The 18,672-nt window shown below is 42.3% G+C and overlaps 1 protein-coding gene across 4 annotated transcripts in view, besides 2 other annotated features; it reads left to right on the top strand.

Annotated features, from left to right (window-relative positions):
* The window catches only part of VAPB (VAMP associated protein B and C), a 61,873-nt gene that overhangs the window by 10,958 nt on the left and 32,243 nt on the right, over positions 1-18,672 (top strand). For all 4 annotated transcript variants that reach the window (NR_036633.2, XR_001754433.3, NM_004738.5 and 1 more), the window contains exon 2: positions 18,025-18,177. Coding sequence is in view for 2 of the 4 variants with exons in the window: in NM_004738.5 (NP_004729.1) it covers positions 18,025-18,177 (153 nt within the window). In the remaining 2 variants the exon portion in view is untranslated. The remainder of the gene's footprint in view (positions 1-18,024; positions 18,178-18,672) is intronic.
* Positions 12,911-13,702: an enhancer, noted in NCBI's record as "NANOG-H3K27ac-H3K4me1 hESC enhancer chr20:56988153-56988944 (GRCh37/hg19 assembly coordinates)". NCBI's record gives its function as "activates a minimal SCP1, AML or CMV promoter by ChIP-STARR-seq in primed H9 embryonic stem cells {active_cell/tissue: H9 hESC(primed)}" and the evidence as "EXISTENCE:reporter gene assay evidence [ECO:0000049][PMID:30033119]".
* Positions 13,703-14,492: an enhancer, noted in NCBI's record as "H3K27ac-H3K4me1 hESC enhancer chr20:56988945-56989734 (GRCh37/hg19 assembly coordinates)". NCBI's record gives its function as "activates a minimal SCP1, AML or CMV promoter by ChIP-STARR-seq in primed H9 embryonic stem cells {active_cell/tissue: H9 hESC(primed)}" and the evidence as "EXISTENCE:reporter gene assay evidence [ECO:0000049][PMID:30033119]".

The following is an 18,672-nucleotide window of genomic DNA, read 5'->3' on the forward strand; positions in this document are numbered from 1 at the left end:
GAGGCACTTGGGCTAACCTCCTTAGCTTTGGTTTCCTCCTCTGCGATGTAAGGAGGCTTGAACTCAGTACCTCTAGGTGGTCCTTCCAGCTCTAAGCTTGAGAACTTAAGTTTATTTTAGCTGAAGAAGAGAGATAGAAAGCCCCTTGAGGACAGGAACCAGCTTGTATTTCCCACAGCACCTACTGGTACTTTGTTCCTATGGGCTCCTGAATATTTAATTAATGAAACCTCTTGTTACTGTTTGAAAGCTCACTACTTGTATTAACCTTTCCTGAGTATTCTTGGACTCTGATCCAGTTTTTTCTATATCACCTCTTATTGTACGAATTGTATGTCACTTTCACGTTTTGTTTTATTCTTTATGTGCTTCATTTACTTATTTATTGCTTGGCTTTCACTGCTAGAATGTAAGCTCCTATAGGTTTTTGTTTTAGTATTTCTGAGTAGACTACATAGACTACATTCTCTTCTTCTTCTTGTTTTCTTTTCCGAGTACCCCAAAGAAGGATACAACCCTGGATTTGGTCATCTTTTCAGTGTTTGCTATGATCATTTGAAACAGAAGCATACACAAGAATAAAAAGAGAAATTTGCTGAAAAACCAGAGGTTTGTCCTTGTGGAGGCTTATTTGAATTCTCAATCTGTTGGTTGAATTGATTTGTTGGCATGTAAATATATCCTGATGGACTCCTCTGAAAATCTAAATTTGTGCTTCTGACCTTTGTAAAGTCAGGCAGTGCTTTACTAATTGGATGAAGGAGAGCCATGGCTTACTCTTGAGAGAATGTGCAGATGCACACAATCAAAACTTTTCATGTAATTTGCGGGCAGGAGGATCCCATCTTAGTGCATAGTTCACCTCTAACCTCGCTCAGAGAAAAGGTGGAAGAAGCATGAGCAGTCATCTAGAGAAATCCAGAGACCACTTGGTCGGCTCATTTGTATCTTTTTATTTATTATTATTTTTAAAATGAATGCTTTTGTTGCCTTTCTCTTCCAAAGCAAGATTGTTTCTTTTTCTTTCTTTACATACCTAGCACTCACTGAGAATAGTGCTTGGCCATTAGTCATTTTCATTAAACATTTGAGTATTGTCCCTTCCACCTTTAAAGAAGAAAAACTGTGTTGTCAGTCCTTTTTACCCTGTCTAGCTACTCCTTTCACTTTCCTTCTTATCATGGTAAGCTTCTGGAAAACATAGTTTCCTGTCTTTTTTCTTTCTGTTCTTCACTTCTAGTCACTGCCCGGGAGCTCAATCATTGCTTCATCACTACATCTCCCATTGCATGTTCAGTCTTCACTACCATTTGACCCCTGTTGTCATCCTGCTCATTGACACTCTTCTCTTGACCTCTCTCATTGCTCTCTCTGCTTTTCTTCCGCCCATGTGGCCAGTTTTGCCCACTCATCATGCAGTCCGGTTGGTAATGCTCAGGGTTACAGGTTCACCTTCTCCCCCTCTTCTCCTTTCCCTGTTTCTCTCAGATTTGCTCTCTCTGTGTCTTCCCTTCTCCCCTTTGCGGAACTCTTTTACCAGTACCCTTCGCTTCTAACGTCACTTATGTATGAACCCAGGCCTGACCCAAGCCCATATAAAAGGCTGCAATACGTTAAATGCAGCATGACCCAAGCTGAACTCTATACCACCTTTTCATTTTTTCCTCCAAACCTCCCCTTCTTACTGTCTCATTGGATGGTACCTACATTCATGCATTTGACCAACTCAGAGAGTCTATGACTCAGTTCTGTCCCTTCTTCCCCATTCCCTCTATGGCTGCCCCATTTTCTCCCGCAACTGTAATAGCCTCTTAACTGGTCTTCTTGTCCGAGTCTTCTCTTTCTTTCCACCCTGATGTGGTTTTCAAAGATGGTTTGCAAAGATGCAAATCTGAGCATATCTCTTGCTTGCTTACAATCATTAAATGTCTTCCTGTTGCCAAAAATAAAGTTTAAATTCTTTAACAAAACCTGGAAAATTATCGATACTTGTTGCACTCCCCCCACATTGCCCTGCCCATCTTTCCAGCATCGTCTTTCCTCATGCTTGTGTTTCAGCCTTTTAGTTCTCCTTGGCCATGGGGCTTTGGCATACTATGTATCATGACTTACCCTGTATGTAGTCATAAAGTAACAGTTTTTAGCTGTTTCCACCACTAAAAATTAGTTGATTCCTTTTCCTCTTGTTTGTTTCACTGCGTCCCCCTGCTTACCTTTGAGGCTCAGCACAGGCTTCACTTCTTCAAGGTAACTGTCCTGACATTCTTCACTCACATTGTATCTGTTCCTCTGGCTCCCACACATGTCACAGCATGTTGTCATTGGCAACGTGATACGTGACTCCCTTTCGCTGTTAGTCAGCAAGCCCCCCCACCCTTTTTTTTTTTTTTTTTTTAGATTGTGTCTCTTCTCCCCACATCCCAGTGCCTAGCACAGCACAGTGCATGGTGCATGGCAGTTTCTCAGGGAGTTCATGGTCTCTGGGTCTAAGGCATAGGCGAGGAAGGGTTGGTGTTTAGGAGAAAGCTGAGAAAGATGCCAGGCGCAATGGCTCACACCTGTAATCCAAGGATTTTGGGACTCCGAGGCAAGCGAATCAGTTGAGGCCAGGAATTTGAGATGAGCCTGGGCAATATGGCGAAACCCCATCTCTACTAAAAATACAGAAATTAACCTGGTGTGGTGGTGCATGCCCATAATCCCAGCTACTCGGGAGGCTGAGGCATGAGAATCACTTGAACTCAGGAGGTGGAAGCTGCAGTGAGTCAAAATTATGCCACTGCACTCCACTCTGGGTGACAGAGCAAGACTGTATCTCAAAAACAAAAACAAAGCTGAGAAAGGAGAGAGGGGGGAAGAAAGAAGACTTTCAGTGGTGAAGAGTAATGAAGCCTGTCGGCAGGGCCCGTTATGTACAGCCGATCGATGTAGACACAGTGCATTTTGCTCAGAAAATATTTGAAGATTTTCCACTAAATGCTGGTTGCTTTTCTCTCTTGTGGAAACTTATGTTTTTACTTCTCCTCCTCTTCTATTTCAGAGAGTCAGGACTACCTCTTAGGTGTGTGTTCTTTTACCCCATTCCTTTCCCATCACTTAACAGTATTTTGCATCGTTAGCCTATTACTGCTGTCTCACTTTTCTCTTGTACTTGATTCCTTCCTTGTGCCTACAAACATGCTTAAGTTGCCCCTTCCTAAAAAGAAATCTTGTTTTCTAGATCTTCCCCGCTTAAGCAAATGCCCAGTCTTCTATCACAGCTAATTTTGGGGAAGCGGTGAATCTCAGTTTCTGGTATCTTTACTCTTCTTTCATCAGACCTCACCCCTTCACTCAAACCCTTCTTAGTTCCCCCAGGTTTCTCTCTGTGATACTTGTCTTTGACTTTTCTGATGAACTGTCCACCTCTTTATCATCTCTTTTACTGGATGTTGAGGTTTCTCAGGTTCTGGCTTCAGTCTTCTCAATTTAACAATTCTCTGTATGTTGTCTCATTAATAATGCCTTCATCTTCCACTTCTGCACAGAAAACTTCCAAATCTCTATCTCCAAGCAAATCTTTTGATCTGTCAGCCTGCTGGACATCCCTGTCTATCTGGTTGTCATGAGAACACCTCAAACTCAGCATGTTCCACACTGTATTTACCGTTTACCTTCTCATCCCCACTGACTGTGGCTTCTGGATCTTGGGAATGGCCCTTGCACCAAGTTGGCAAGCTGGAAATCCTAAACTTGTCTTTCACTCCCCATTTTCCGTAACCTTTCACATCTACTCAGTCCATTTAAATCAGCAGCATCTCCTATGCCCTTTTGCTTCTTAGTATTCTATCGTATCCTAAGTATAGGTCCTTTCCCTTCCAGACTATTGTAGTAGCACCGTGACTCAACTTTCTGTCTCTATTTTTTCTGCCTGCTTCTCTCACCCTTTGGACTATACTTTATACAGTTTCCAGAGATATTTTTCTAAAAATTGAAATTTGATATCATTTCTTGGTTTAAAAACATTCATTGGCTCTCTAGATCTTACGGATAGGTTCGTGGCCCAAATTCTTAGGCCAGCAGCAAAACTCTTCAGAGTCAGGCCACACCGCATCTTTCCAGCCTCAGCTTCTTTCACCCCTCTCGTACCCCTTCCTCTTCAGCCATTTGATGCCCCCAGAAGCCCCTTATAGCGTTATCACACTGTACTTTCACCCAAGTTCCCTACAGCTCAAAGTGTACTTTGCGTTATCTGCTTTTCAGACTCCAGGGCTTGCCTCAGTGATCAGTTCCCTGTGCTCCTCACCCTCCCCTTTTGATAGGATGCTTTATAGATTACCTTTCATACAGTGTTCGATGCAGTTAGAGGTAGTATACTGCCCAGGAGTTAAGAGTGTGAACCCTAGATTTGCCATCTGAAAGTCATGTGTCCTTCAGTGATGCATTTAACCTCTCTGTGCCTCAAATTTCTCCCTCTGGGGTATGTTAGGAGTATACAAATTAACACATGTAAAGTGCTTAGAATAGATTGGTACTGTTAAATATGAGCTAACGTCACATTTGATATTTTTTTAAAAAGAAAAAATCATTATGGAGTCTCAGTCCTAGAGATTCTGATTCATTAATTCTGGATGGGCCCCAAGATTGTTCTGTGTATTCTGGGTGGGAGCTGCAGTGCCCTGTTTCTCTCTCTAGCTTGAGAGCCTAGCACAGCACCTGAACCATTCTCTTCATGGGTTACTTATTGAGTACCTGTAGTGTGCCAAGCATTGCTGAGAGGCCGAGATGAGAAAACTTTTACCTTGTGGAGCTCATCTTCTAGTGGAGAAGGTGTACATTAAATAAAAACAGAAAATATATATGATGTGGTGTCAGGCAGTAGGTGATAAATGGGAAAAAAACAACTAAAAACAATGCAAGATAAAGGGATTTGGGAATGGATTCAATTTTAAGTAGGGTAATTAGGGAAGGTCATTTAAGTAGGGTGATTAGGGAAGGTCATTTACCTGAGGAGGTGATATTTGAACTGAGACCTATATAAAATGAGTGTATGAACTGTGGAGACATTTGGGAAGAGCATTACAGACAGATGGAAGGGCAGGTGCAAGGTGATGATGAGCTTGGTGTGTTCAAGGAGCAGCAAGGTATGCCTGTGCTAGAGTGGTGGAGGGGCCTGCGGGGAGATGAGCTCAAAGAAGAGGGCAGGAGCCTTGCCGGTAGGCAGGCCACAGGAGGGACTTTGGATTTTGTTGTGAGATGGGAAGCCACAGAGGAATCTGAGCAGGAGTTTATTTTTATTTTTATTTTTATTTTTGGAGACAGAGTCTTGCTCTGTCGCCCAGGCTGGAGTGTAGTGGCGCGATCTCGGTTCACTGCAACCTCTGTCTCCCGGGTTCAAGCAATTCTCTTGCCTCAGCCTCCTGAGTAGCTGGGATTATGCCCAGCTAATTTTTTTATTTTTAGTAGACAGGGTTTCACCATGTTGCCCAGGCTGGTCTTGAACTCCTAAACTCCTGAGCTCAGGCCTCCCAAAATGCTAGGATTACAGGTGTGAGCCATCACGCCTGGCCAGGAGCCTTTTTTTTTTTTTTTTTTTTTTTTTTGAGACGGAGACTGGCTCTGTTGCCCAGGCTGGAGTGCAGTGGTGCGATCTCACTCGGCTCACTGTAACCTCCCCCTCCCAGTTCAAGCAATTCTCCTGCCTCAGCTTCCCAAGTAGCTGGGACTACAGGCATGTGCCACCACGCCTAAGTAATTTTTGTATCTTTAGTGGAGACAGGGTTTCTAGATTAAATGTAGAGGAATATAGAGGAATGTAGATTAAATGTAGAGGAAGAGAGACTGCTTTTGGCCTAAGCAGTTGGGTGAGTGGTGGTTTCTTTACTGAGATGAGAAGCATTGAGTTTGAGGGAGGAGAGTGGGACTCAAGAGTGCCGTTTGGACATGAGAAACTTGAGATGCTCAGTACACTTGCAACGAGAGATGTTAAATAGGTAGTTGAGTCTGGAGCTCAGGGGAGAGGGCCAGGCTGCAGATATAAATTTGGCAGTCAGCTTATTGTTGTGACATAGAACAGTAAGGAGTAATTTCTTCTGATTAAAGAGATTTGGTAAACCTTTCCAAAAGAGAAGACGTTTGAGCAAAACTTTGAAGAATGAGCATAATTTCCAAAGGCAGAGTAAGGGAAAAATAGAAAATATTTTTCATCCAAGTCTCACAGCCTTTCCCCTGGCCTCTTCTTGAGTTTAAGAAGCTGCTGACCTGGTTGATAATCTCTTATCACTGGTATAGCCACTTAGGTTCTTTATTGAAAAGGAACCAGAACAGATTACACACTAACTGATAAACCACGTTCTACTGTTTCTCATCGTTCACAGATTGAAAATTCCAGTTGGATCATCAAGGTGCAGAATGCTAAACTTGTTCTTCTCCCCTGTTCTGTATCTGGTGTGAATTGGATGTGTTGATTTTCGTATGGAGGCTTTTTCACATGCTGTCATCTCCACTAAAGATGGAACACTTTGGAGAAGTTTTACTTCTGTTGTTAATGACTTTTTGCACTTGAACTGTTAAAACAACTACAACCATGAGAAATTGGGACCCCATGCTATTTTATCACTCATACCCCTAACTTGAGCATATTATCTGTCTTGACTCATCCTGCTTTGTGTAAAATGTGAATCATGTTTTGTCACTCTTCTATTTAGATAGAATTTTATTTGCAGTAGAATATTGCTTATCTTTTTGTTTATTTTTGTGATTACTGTAATCAGAAATTTTGGTCTTTCAAGTAGAGAATAATTACTAGATGTTCGTTAGTCAATGGGATAAAGAATGCATTGAAAAAATTCAGTTTATTAAATCGTCTAAGATCCTTTTAGAACTGATGTAAAATTCATCTGTGAATAATCTTCTACTGCACGATAATATTAGTGCTGGATATAGATAGAATGTATGAAGCCTCAGCTCTTATATACTCCTTTTAGCCATTTTTCTATTACGAAAAAAAATCTAGTGTATTAAAGGAAAGTAGTGACAGTATTTATCTTTAGATGGTTTCTAGTATTTGAAGTTCATACAGAAGCTTTTGTCAGAATTGTACACATGGGTCTTTGTCTTGAGTTAATGAGACCACTGCAACTTTAAACATGTTTTGAGTGATAACCTTGATTTTTATAAATTATACAAGCATGACTATCAAGGCTGGTTTATCAGTTTTCAACAACTTTACAAGTCTGAACAAGTAGAAAATTATTTCAAAAGAACCTTGTTTGGATCTCACATAAACTACAGGTAGCTTTCTGTATATGAAAAAATTTTTAAGTACAGAAAAATACAGATAATATAAATACCCCAGTATGGAGTAACTAAATGTTAATAATTTGTTAGAAGACTCGTTTTAAATCTTTCTTTAATAAAACAAGTAAAACTTCACTAATAATTTATGGCATGTCTGTACTCCATATCTGCTGATTCATACGCCCTCCTTTTTTTTTTGTTTTTTTTTTAACTCCCCGGAGGAATTTAATGTGAACTATTTCCGTTTTTTTCTAGATCACTTAATGTAGTGTCATGGTGTATGGATGACTTAACATGTTTTTGAGACCTATCAACTGTTGAAATACAGATCTAGTTCATTCTTTTAAAGAGTTGTATAGTATTCCTTCATGAGATTTTAGAATTTTTATTGTAAGTAAGAGAATTCTTTATATATTTTCAATTCTGGCCATTCATCTGTTATATAAACTGCAAATATCTTAGTTTTCCAGGCTGTTCCTTACTAACTTTGTATTTTTTTTCAGGTAGCTTTCCTGAGTTTGATCTTAGGAATTCTTAAAATACAGTAGCATGTCTTCCAGTTTAGTTTTCCCACCCATGGAGGTGGTGGCAGGCTGAGTTTTGTTTCTTTCTGCTCTGAAAGACCTAGGAAACTAGTGAATTGAGTAAGCACCCTGCAAGTCTGGTATAGTCTATTTCAATCAAGTTGGCTTCTGGTGTGCCTTTGATGGCATCATCAGTGAGAGTTCTTGGTGTTGATTTCTCTTGCTGCAATAACAGGTGTGATGTTTCTCAGTAGCTGGCTGGCTCCCGAGGATACCAGGAGAATACTTTATTAATTTAAAACACTGCATTCTAAGAGTTCTTCAGGAAAGTTATGTGTCTATGGGTAGGGTTGTTTTTATGTGGTTATTTCAAAATAAGAGCTATACAATCAGGCTTTCTGCTGGAATATTGGAATATAATGTCTGCCATTTAAACACATTGGTTGCAAAGCTTTAAAGCTTTATTTTTGTTTCTAAAGCATTGATTTAATGTGTGAGCTAACAATTCGATCAAGAAAATAGATTTTTAAGAAAACTTCTCCAGTGTCCTTATTCTTGAGTTCATGGTTATTTAACAGCTCACTCTCTTCGAATATCTGTTAGTATGGTATCTTTCATTTTTTAGGGAGGGGGCAACTTTAAAAAAAAACACCATAGAATAATTATGATGAAAGCATTATTGACACAGTGAGCATTTTTAATACCTTCAACCTGTATATAAGCAGCACAAATTTAGAGTGATTTCAGATCCGGGTTTTGAAGTAGGTGTCTGTTTACAGGAAATGCAGCAGAATCAGAGTACAATGACCTCTGAGGAAGTCTCGTATTCATGCAGCATACATTTTTACTATGTTTGTGGCACTGTTCTAGTTTGGAGGATCTGGTGATGAATAGGACAGACACCCCCCCCCCCCACCCCGCCCCCCACTCCATGTGGAAACAGGAAAGGAACAAACAAAATATGTCCTATGCAGAAGATGAAAAGGGTGTAATGCTGGAACAGGAGCAGCAGTAGTCTCAGTATTTATTCACCCAGAGCCTGGATGTGCTTACAGAGGGTGCATAGAGGAAGAATACAGCCATTGTGTGAAGTAGATGGAAGCATGGCATGGCTATTTGTTCATTCAGCAAATATATTATTGAGCATCTGTTCTATGCCTGCAAGTGCTCTAGGTGCTGATGATCAGTAATGAACAAGAGGGACAAAAAAGTCTGTGTTGATGGAGTTTCCATTCTAGAAGGGGAAGATTTACATAAACAAGAAAAGAAATAATGTGGGGATTGGTGCACTGCAGATGGGTATAGAACGCAGAAAGCAATAGGATACTTTTTAATGTAAATAGACTGTCAAAGGGTAAAATTTAAAAATATTAATAAGATATCCAACAGATTTTGCTTTAGAATGTCCGTGTCCCTCCATTTTAGTGTATTTTTCCCACATAGAGAGTCTACTGTATTGAAACCTCAAGCACACTTTTATTGTCTTAACAAAATCCATCAAAAGTCATAGGCTTCTGGAGACAGATTATTACCTTCCCAGAAGGTAATCTTTTTAGAGTTGAAGTGAAATATGGTAATTTGTTTTTTGGAGAGGCTGTGAAAAGGAGAGATACTGTACCTAATTTGTGTTTGCAAGAGTATAAAATAATATAGCTTTTTTTATGCAGAGTGGAAAAAACTGTTGTGAAGCTAATAACTTTAAACTTGTATCTGGAAAGCTGAGACCTGATAGATTATATATCAAATTGGTATACAACTTATTTGGTAACATATATAGGTTGAGTTTCAAAGTATTGTAGCTACATCAGAAGATAAATAACAAAGGAAGGATATGTATTTGTGAAACCAGAATTTCATGAACTCTAGAAAAGGAAGAGGAGCAATCACTTTGCACAACAAAGAATCTTTATTCATATACACACACACACACACACACACACACACACAATACAGATAGATATTTTCAAAATCTCAATAATATTTAATATTAGAAATGTTAAGGGGGATACTACCGAAAGTGAATTAATATAAAAGACCAAATGCTTTTTCCCCTTCCTTTTTTTAAAAAAAATATAGTTTAGAACAGTTTTAGGTTCACACAAAAACTGAGCAGAAAGTATGCACAGAGTTCTCTTGTAACTCCTACCCCACACATGCATCATAACCCCCTCCACTGCCAACATCCTACACTGAGAGGTACATTGGTTACCATTGGTGAACCTACATTGACATGTCATTGTTAGCCAGAGTCCGTAGTCTGCGTTAGTATTCATTTCTAGTGTTGTACATTCTGTGAGTTTTTACAAATGTATAATGACATGTATCCACCATTATAATATCAGAGTAGTTTCAGTTTTACTGTCCTAAAACTGCTCTATGCTCCTTGTGTTCTTTCCTCCCTTAAATTTTATCAACACCGTATTTATTTATTTATTTATTTATTTTGATAACAGAGTCTTGCTCCATCACACAGGCTGGAGTGCAGTGGAGCGATCTTCGCTCACTGTAACCTTCGCCTCCTGGGTTCAAACTGTTCTCCTGCCTCAGCCCCCCGAGTTGCTGGGATTACAGGTGTGTGCCCCCACACCTAGCCAATTTTTGTAGTTTTATTAGAGATGTGGTTTCACCATACTGGCCAGGCTGGTCTCGAACTCCTGATGTCAAGTGATCCGCCCCCCCGCCCCACTCAGCCTCCCAAAGTGCTGGATTATAGGCGTGAGCCACCATGCCTGGCCAACACCTTATCTTTTTATTGTCTCTGTAGTTTTGCCTTTTCCAGAATGTCATAGAGTAAAATCATACAGTATGCTACCTTTTCATACTGACTGCTTTCACTCAGGAATATGCATTTAAGGCTCCTCCGTGTCTTTTCATGGCTTTATAGCTCATTTCTTTTTAGCACTGAGCACTATTTCAGTGTCTGGATATACCACAGTTTATTTTATCCACTCACAAAATGCTTCTGCATTTTGGCAGTTATGAATAAAGCTGCTATAAACATCCATGTGCAGGTGTTTGTGTGGATATAAGTTTTCAACTTACTTGGGTAAATACCAAGGAGGGTGATTGCTGGATTGTATGGTAAGAATATGTTTAGTTTTGTAAGAAACTGCTAAATGGTCTTTCAAAGTGTCTGTGCACCGTTTTTCATTCCCACCAGCAGTGAATGAGAGTTCCTGTTGTTCCACATCCTCACCAACACTTGGTATTGGTAGTATTTTAGAATTTGGCCATTCTAAAACTCAACAATAAGAAAATGAACAAATGTGTAATAGTATCTCATTGGACATCTTTTCTATTTTTGTTTTTCTGAGATGGAGTCTTACTCTGTCGCCCAGGCTGAAGTGCAGTGGCACAGTCTTGGCTCACTGCAACCTCTGCCTCCCGGGTTCAAGTGATCCTCCTGCCTCAGCCTCCCCAGTAGCTGGGACTACAGGCATGGGCCACCACACCTGGCTACTTTTTGTATTTTCAGTAGAGACAGGGTTTCACCATGTTGGCCAAGCTGGTCTCGAATTCCTGACCTCAGCTGATCCACCCGCCTTGGCCTCCTGATTACAGGCGTGAGCCACCGCACCCGGCCAGACATCTTTTCGTATGTTTATTTGCTTTCTGTACGTTTTTGGTGAGGTGGCTGTTCAGATCTTTTGCCCATTTTAAAATTAGGTTGTTCATTTTATTTTATTTTATTTTTATTATTTTTTGAGACGGAGTCTCTTTCGCTCTGTCACCCAGACTGGAGTGCAGTGGCACGATCTCAGCACATTGGAAGCTCCGCCTCCCTGGTTCAGGCCATTCCCCTGCCTCAGCCTCCAGAGTAGCTGGGACTACAGGTGCCCACCACCACGCCCGGCTAATTTTTTTGTATTTTTAGTAGAGACGGGGTTTCACCGTGTTAGCCAGGATGGTCTCGATCTCCTGACGTTGTGATCCACCCGCCACAGCCTCCCAAAGTGCTGGGATTACAGGCATGAGCCACTGTGCCCAGCCTTCATTTTCATATTATTGAGTTTTAAGAGTTCTTTGTATAGTTTGGTTGACAGTATTTTATTCAGGTATGTTTTTAGCAAATATTTTCTCCTGGCTTGTGGCTTGTCTTCTGCAGAACAGATGTTTTTATTTTTAATGAAGTCTAGCTAATCAGTTATTTTTTTCATGGATTTTGTTTTGGTGTTGTAAGTAGTCATCTCCAAATCCAAGGCCATCTAGATTTTATTCTGTCATCCTGTAGGAGTTTTATAGTTTGGGGTCTAAATATACTTTAGCCTTTATTTTTCTGGTAGAATTGCTAAGTTAAAAGTAAAATTATGGCTGGGCGTGGAGGCTCACACCTCTAATCCCAGCACTTTGGGATGCCAAGGTGGGTGGATCATTTGAGGTCAGGAGTTTGAGACCACCCTAGCCAATGTAGTAAAACCCTGTCTCTATTAAAAATACAAAAATTAGCCAGGTGTGGCATATGCCTGTGGTCCTAGCTACTTGGGAGGTTGGGGCATGAGAATCGCTTGAACCTGGGAGGTGGAGGTTGCAGTGAGCCAAGATCGTGCCACTGCACTCCAGCCTGGGTGACAGAGTGAGACTCTGTCTCAAAAAAAAAAAAAAGGTAAAATTATATATTTACTCCTTAAAAACTTCTATCTTGCCATTTAGTAGATAGGATGTTATGCTATGCTTGAGGTAATACAGATAGGTAAGGCCTAGATTGAGTTTTCAGTTCACTGGAAATTTTCATTATTACTTTTTATAATTTGATGGGACATGAACTTTTAAATTATTCTTTTGTAAAGATAGTATTTACATTTCCTGAAGGGAAGCGTTTTAATTTTTCTTCCATGGCTCTTGAATGAATAATTACAGAAAAGCATTTAAATCATATGTAGATCAGGAGACTGTTTAAAGATTTAATGGAATACTTTTCCCATAAAATGCTCTTAGGTTTCCTGACAAGTTTATTCAGCCATTTTTTTATGACATTTTCAACACCTGGAACCTGACCTCTTCATGTTGTGCTGGATTGTGACGGTCTTTGACCTTCAAACCAGAACTTTATACATCTTAAGGCCCAATTTTTGTAATTAAGAGTAAAAAGCAACTATTTCTTCTTTCACTTTTAATGGTATGCAAGTTTTTGCTGGTATTGTATTTGCCTTCTTTTTTTTTTTTTTTTAATTTATTTTTTATTGATAATTCTTGGGTGTTTCTCACAGAGGGGGATTTGGCAGGGTCATAGGACAATAGTGGAGGGAAGGTCAGCAGATAAACAAGTGAACAAAGGTCTCTGGTTTTCCTAGGCAGAGGACCCTGCGGCCTTCCGCAGTGTTTGTGTCCCTGGGTACTTGAGATTAGGGACTGGTGATGACTCTTAACGAGCATGCTGCCTTCAAGCATCTGTTTAACAAAGCACATCTTGCACCGCCCTTAATCCATTTAACCCTGAGTGGACACAGCACATGTTTCAGAGAGCACAGGGTTGGGGGTAAGGTCACCGATCAACAGGATCCCAAGGCAGAAGTTTTCTTAGTACAGAACAAAATGAAAAGTCTCCCATGTCTACTTCTTTCTACACAGACATGGCAACCATCCGATTTCTCAATCTTTTCCCCACCTTTCCCGCCTTTCTATTCCACAAAGCCGCCATTGTCATCCTGGCCCGTTCTCAATGAGCTGTTGGGCACACCTCCCAGACGGGGTGGTGGCCAGGCAGAGGGGCTCCTCACTTCCCAGTAGGGGCGGCCGGGCAGAGGCGCCCGTCACCTCCCGGGTGGGGCCGCTGGCCGGGCGGGGGGCTGACCTCCCCACCTCCCTCCCGGACGGGGCAGCTGGCCGGGCGGGGGGCTGACCCCGCCACCTCCCTCCCAGATAGGGCGGCTGGCCTGGCAGAGGGGCTCCTCACTTCCCAGTAGGGGCGGCCGGGCAGAGGCGCCCCTCACCTCCCGGATGGGGCGGCTGGCCGGGTGGGGGGCTGACCTCCCCACCTCCCTCCCGGACGGGGCAGCTGGCCGGGCGGGGGGCTGACCCCGCCACCTCCCTCCCAGATAGGGCGGCTGGCCTGGCAGAGGGGCTCCTCACTTCCCAGTAGGGGCGGCCAGGCAGAGGCGCCCCTCACCTCCCGGACGGGGCGGCTGGCCGGGCGGGAGGCTGACGCCCCGACCTCCCTCCCGGACGGGGCGGCTGGCCGGGCGGGGGGCTGACCCCCCACCTCCCTCCCTGACGGGGCGGCTGGCCGGGCGGGGGGCTGACCCCCCAACCTCCCTCCTGGACGGGGCGGCTGGCGGGGCGTGGGGCTGACCCCCCCACCTCCCTCCCGGATGGGGCTGCTGGCCTGGCGGGGGGCTGACCCCCCCCACCTCCCTCCCGGACGGGGCGGCCGCCGGGCGGAGACGCCCCCCACCTCCCAGACGGGGTGGCCGCCGGGCGGAGAGGCTCCCCACCCCTCAGACGGGGCAGCCGCCGGGCGGAGGGTCTCCCCACTCCTCAGACGGGGCGGTTGCCGGGCAGAGGGTCTCCTCACCTCTCAGACGGGGCGGTGGGGCAGAGATGCTCCTCACCTCCCAGACGGGGTCGTGGCCGGGCAGAGGCGCTCCTCACATCCCAGACGGGGCGGCGGGGCAGAGGCGCTCCCCACATCTCAGACGATGGGCGGCCGGGCAGAGACGCTCCTCACTTCCTAGATGTGATGGCGGCCGGAAAGAGGCGCTCCTCACCTCCTAGATGGGATGGCGGCCGGTCGGAGACGCTCCTCACCTCCCAGACTGGGCAGCCAGGCAGAGGGGCTCCCCACATCCCAGACGATGGGTGGCCAGGCAGAGACGCTCCCCACTTCCCAGACGGGGTGGCGGCCGGGCAGAGGCTGCAATCTCAGCACTCTGGGAGGCCAAGGCAGGCGGCTGGGAGGTGGAGGTTGTAGCGAGCCGAGATCACGCCACTGCACTCCAGCCTGGGCACCACCGAGCACTGAGTGAACGAGACTCCGCCTGCAATCCCGGCACGTCGGGAGGCCGAGGCCGGCGGATCACTTGCGGTTAGGGGCTGGAGACCGGCCTGGCCAACACAGCGAAACCCCGTCTCCACCAAAACCAGTCAGGCGTGGCGGCGCGAGCCTGCAATCGCAGGCACTCTGTATTTGCCTTGTAAAACAGATCAATTCTAGCCCCTCTTACTGTCTTACTCTTACCTCTTATTGCCTTAAACACAATTTAAAATGACAAAAATCCAAGCACAGTGGGTCCTGGGGGAAGGTAGAGGAAATAAATTATACTGTGTTTAGCTTTATCTAAATACCTTTTACAGCATGTCAAGGAATTCATTTTCAGTTCATTAGTGCTGTTTCATAAGCATCTTCAGCAAACTCACACAAATGTTCACAGATGAGTATATGCATAATCTAGGACATAAAGGGCATTGTTTACATTATTAAAAAGAGTAACAGTTTCAAAGAGTATTGCCAGTTTCTCCCAAATTCATGTTTTTTCACTTTTTTAACCTCCCATTTCACATTTTAGATGCTTAGTTCCTGGTTTTGTTACAGACATTATCTGAAATAAGGAATAGAAGATTAAAAATGATTTGAAGTGTATGCTGTGGTTCTAGAGACACATCATTTTTTTTTATCTCTAAAAAGGAAAAATTCTAAGTTTAGAAGGAGATTTCATTTGTAAAATTGACTGTACTTTATAAGCAGTGTTTAAATTCATTGGTGGTAAATATGCATGTTGGTATAGTAAAATCCCATTTTTTACATAATGCTTTAATGGAAATGGCAGTTTTATGAAATGAAAGTGACTAGTAAAAGTCTGAATGATGCTCATAAGCTTTTACATCATTTTTATTGAAGGTTTTGTGTATGCTAATCCATTAATACAGGGGAAAAGGAGAACACTAACATGGTTTATTTTCTATAATTACTCAAATAGAATATAATTTATTTTCAATAAAATTCTTGGAGCAAATTGCCCAGAGTAGGGAGAGGAAGGTTGGCCTGTTCTTACAAATATCTTGATTTTTACCCACGGGACTTTGTTATTTTACCAGTGATGTTGTTTCATTGCATATATTTTCAGTATAGTTCCCTCCAGATTTTTACAAATAAAAGCCTGTGAAAGGCCAAGAAATCCCAAGCATGTAAAGACCCAGGATTGTGGAGGGAGAAATCTGGGATGTTTATTTTATCCTGTTTATTATTACAAATATTGCTTGTCTTTTAATAGTTTAGACTTCCTTTTATGTGGTTTATATAAGTTGAAGCACCATTAAGATTGCTGTGTAATAGCAATTAACTGTGATGTAATAGATTAACCTGGGGAAATTTTCAAAAACAGTTAAGTGTTTACATTTAAATTTGGCTTATTTTTGTAGAGTACCTTGAAGAAGAGGTCAGTGTAAGGAATAAACAAATACTTAAATTTGGGATCCTCACACCACAACTTCATAAGGGGGAGAGGGTGAACTGAGGTATCCCGTAGGTGGTTGAGGTGTGTGTGCTTGTGAGTTTTCTGTATTTCTTTGCAGTTGGGTTCAGCGAGGAGCAGTTTTCTGTGTTCACCAGTGTTGATAGCAGACAAAATCACACAGAAACAAATACGAAAATTGTTTTATGTCCAGAATGTCCCTCTAATATGCACATGAGTAACGTTGGATCAAATTTATGTTTTCAAAATAAGTCTCATAGCAGAACTAGCTGTCGTTTGATTTTGGGATTGAGTCCCATTTCCTTCCTTCCTTATCACCATTTTGATTTCTTAATTTGTATTAAGGTAAGCCCATATCAGATTGATTTTTTTTTTTTCCATGCCCGGAGCACCTCAAGAGTAGAGACACCAGCCTGAGGATCTTAATTTTGCTGGAGATAATCCACACACAGGTAGTTTTCTTCTTGGTGAATATGTAGATTGAGATCTTTATTCTATGCCAGCCACAGTGCTGGGGCTACAGAGATGGATAAGGTATAATCCTTGTCTCAGGAGCTTAGAGTCTCATTGAAAAGTTTTTCAAAACACACATTTGAATGATTTTGTTGAGTCAACATTACGTATTTGTTTGTGAACACATAAGCGCACACCCTTTCCCCACCTTCACTTCCTGTTTCCTTGCAAATGCAAAGACAAGAGTAAAGGACTTGCCTAGAGGAAACACAGAAATACTGATTTACAGGTGAAAAATATGTAAATTTGAAAAGGTGTTGAAAAAGACCTAAGTTTTTGTAGCCACCTGACTAATAAACACAGAGATCACATGTCCACCATAGATGGGTAAATGAAAAAAAGCAAGTTTCAGGTTAATAGGAATAGTATTATTTCATTATTTGTTAGCCCCTATCCCTTGCACATGTGTGTATGTATTGTTTGTGTAAACATAGATGATGTGGAAAGATCTCCCATATTGTTAATATTAGTTATCTCAGGGGACAAAGGAAAGCTTATTCCTGTTTATACATCTTTTATTGTTTGGTTTAAGAAGCATGTTTTACTTTTTTAATTAAAAAATCTAATAAAGTAGGAAGTGAATAAATAATAGTAATAAAAAGTATCTTCAGGCCACTGAGCCTGTTGCAGTCTTCCCAGTAGCGTGAGTAATTAGTACCGTCTGTAATGCTTCAGGTGTGGACTGCCCAGCAGGACTCTGAACTTCTTGCTACAGCCTAAGGTGATACTAAGTTTTCTGTAGCAACACTATAATGTTGAGAGTTACTGTGTTTATAGACCATTAACACCTCAAAGTCTTTCTTCCATCTGCTCCTCTTGGCACACTGCTCTAGATAATCATTTTGGAATGAGTTTAGTCCTTTACGCTCTCCCTGTTAGATTTCATATTGTTACTGTGGAAATCAGTATTTAGCATGGGTAAGAACTGGCCTTAGATGCAAGCCATCTGGTTACAGATCCTCACTACCACTATCATGAAAACTTGGACAAGTAACTTGTCTCCCCAAGCCTCAGTTTTCTCATCTGCAAAACAGCAATAATCATAAAGTTGTGAGGTTTCAATGAGATGCCATATGTTAGAACACTTACACTAGGTACCTGGTGAAATAGTGGGAACATGGTAAATATTAGACGTTACTGCTAGTGCATTAACCTCAGCTCATCTCTTTCATCCATTGGCATGTTAATGAGATAATCGTGGATCTCAAATCTTCCCTTAACTATATTTACAGCTCTCTTTTCCACAAACCTTCTAAACTTTCCTCATGAGACCCCCAATCAGTCTCTGTCTCATTCTACAGGTCCCTTCACCGATGTTGTCACCACCAACCTAAAGCTTGGCAACCCGACAGACCGAAATGTGTGTTTTAAGGTGAAGACTACAGCACCACGTAGGTACTGTGTGAGGCCCAACAGCGGAATCATCGATGCAGGGGCCTCAATTAATGTATCTGGTAAGTCCTGAGACTGGAGGCCTAGAGGGTGGGCTCAGAAGGCCCCTGGACAGTAGGTTTTCTTAAAGTTTGTATTTGCAGTGTAGCAGAAGAAGATGATAGAATTCTCTCCACCCCACCCCCACCCCACCCCACCCCACCCCACAACCCTCCACCCCGTGATCAGAAAGCTGGGTCCCAGTCGCCTGTTTTTTTCATAATTAATGCCTCCTTGTTTCAAAGCTTACAGCCCCTTTGCACCTCAATAGTTAGAGCAAAACTGAAGTGATAACTTTAGACTTTACTTCAGAATGAGTTTTGTTTTCACTCCCTTGAAATTAAATCTGCCCTTTGGCAATAAATAAAAAAGGGCTAAACAAACTTAATTTTACTTTGTGGGAGAAAGCTAAATGGAGTTATTTTCTTATTTAAGCTAAATGATTTCTGACATTAAGCTCATACCATTTCCAGTGATTGGCCACTGCACTTTACTGATTGTGAAACGCCAAGAGAGAT

Source organism: Homo sapiens, chromosome 20 (assembly GCF_000001405.40).
Source record: "Homo sapiens chromosome 20, GRCh38.p14 Primary Assembly".
Classification (NCBI taxonomy): Eukaryota; Metazoa; Chordata; class Mammalia; order Primates; family Hominidae; genus Homo; species Homo sapiens.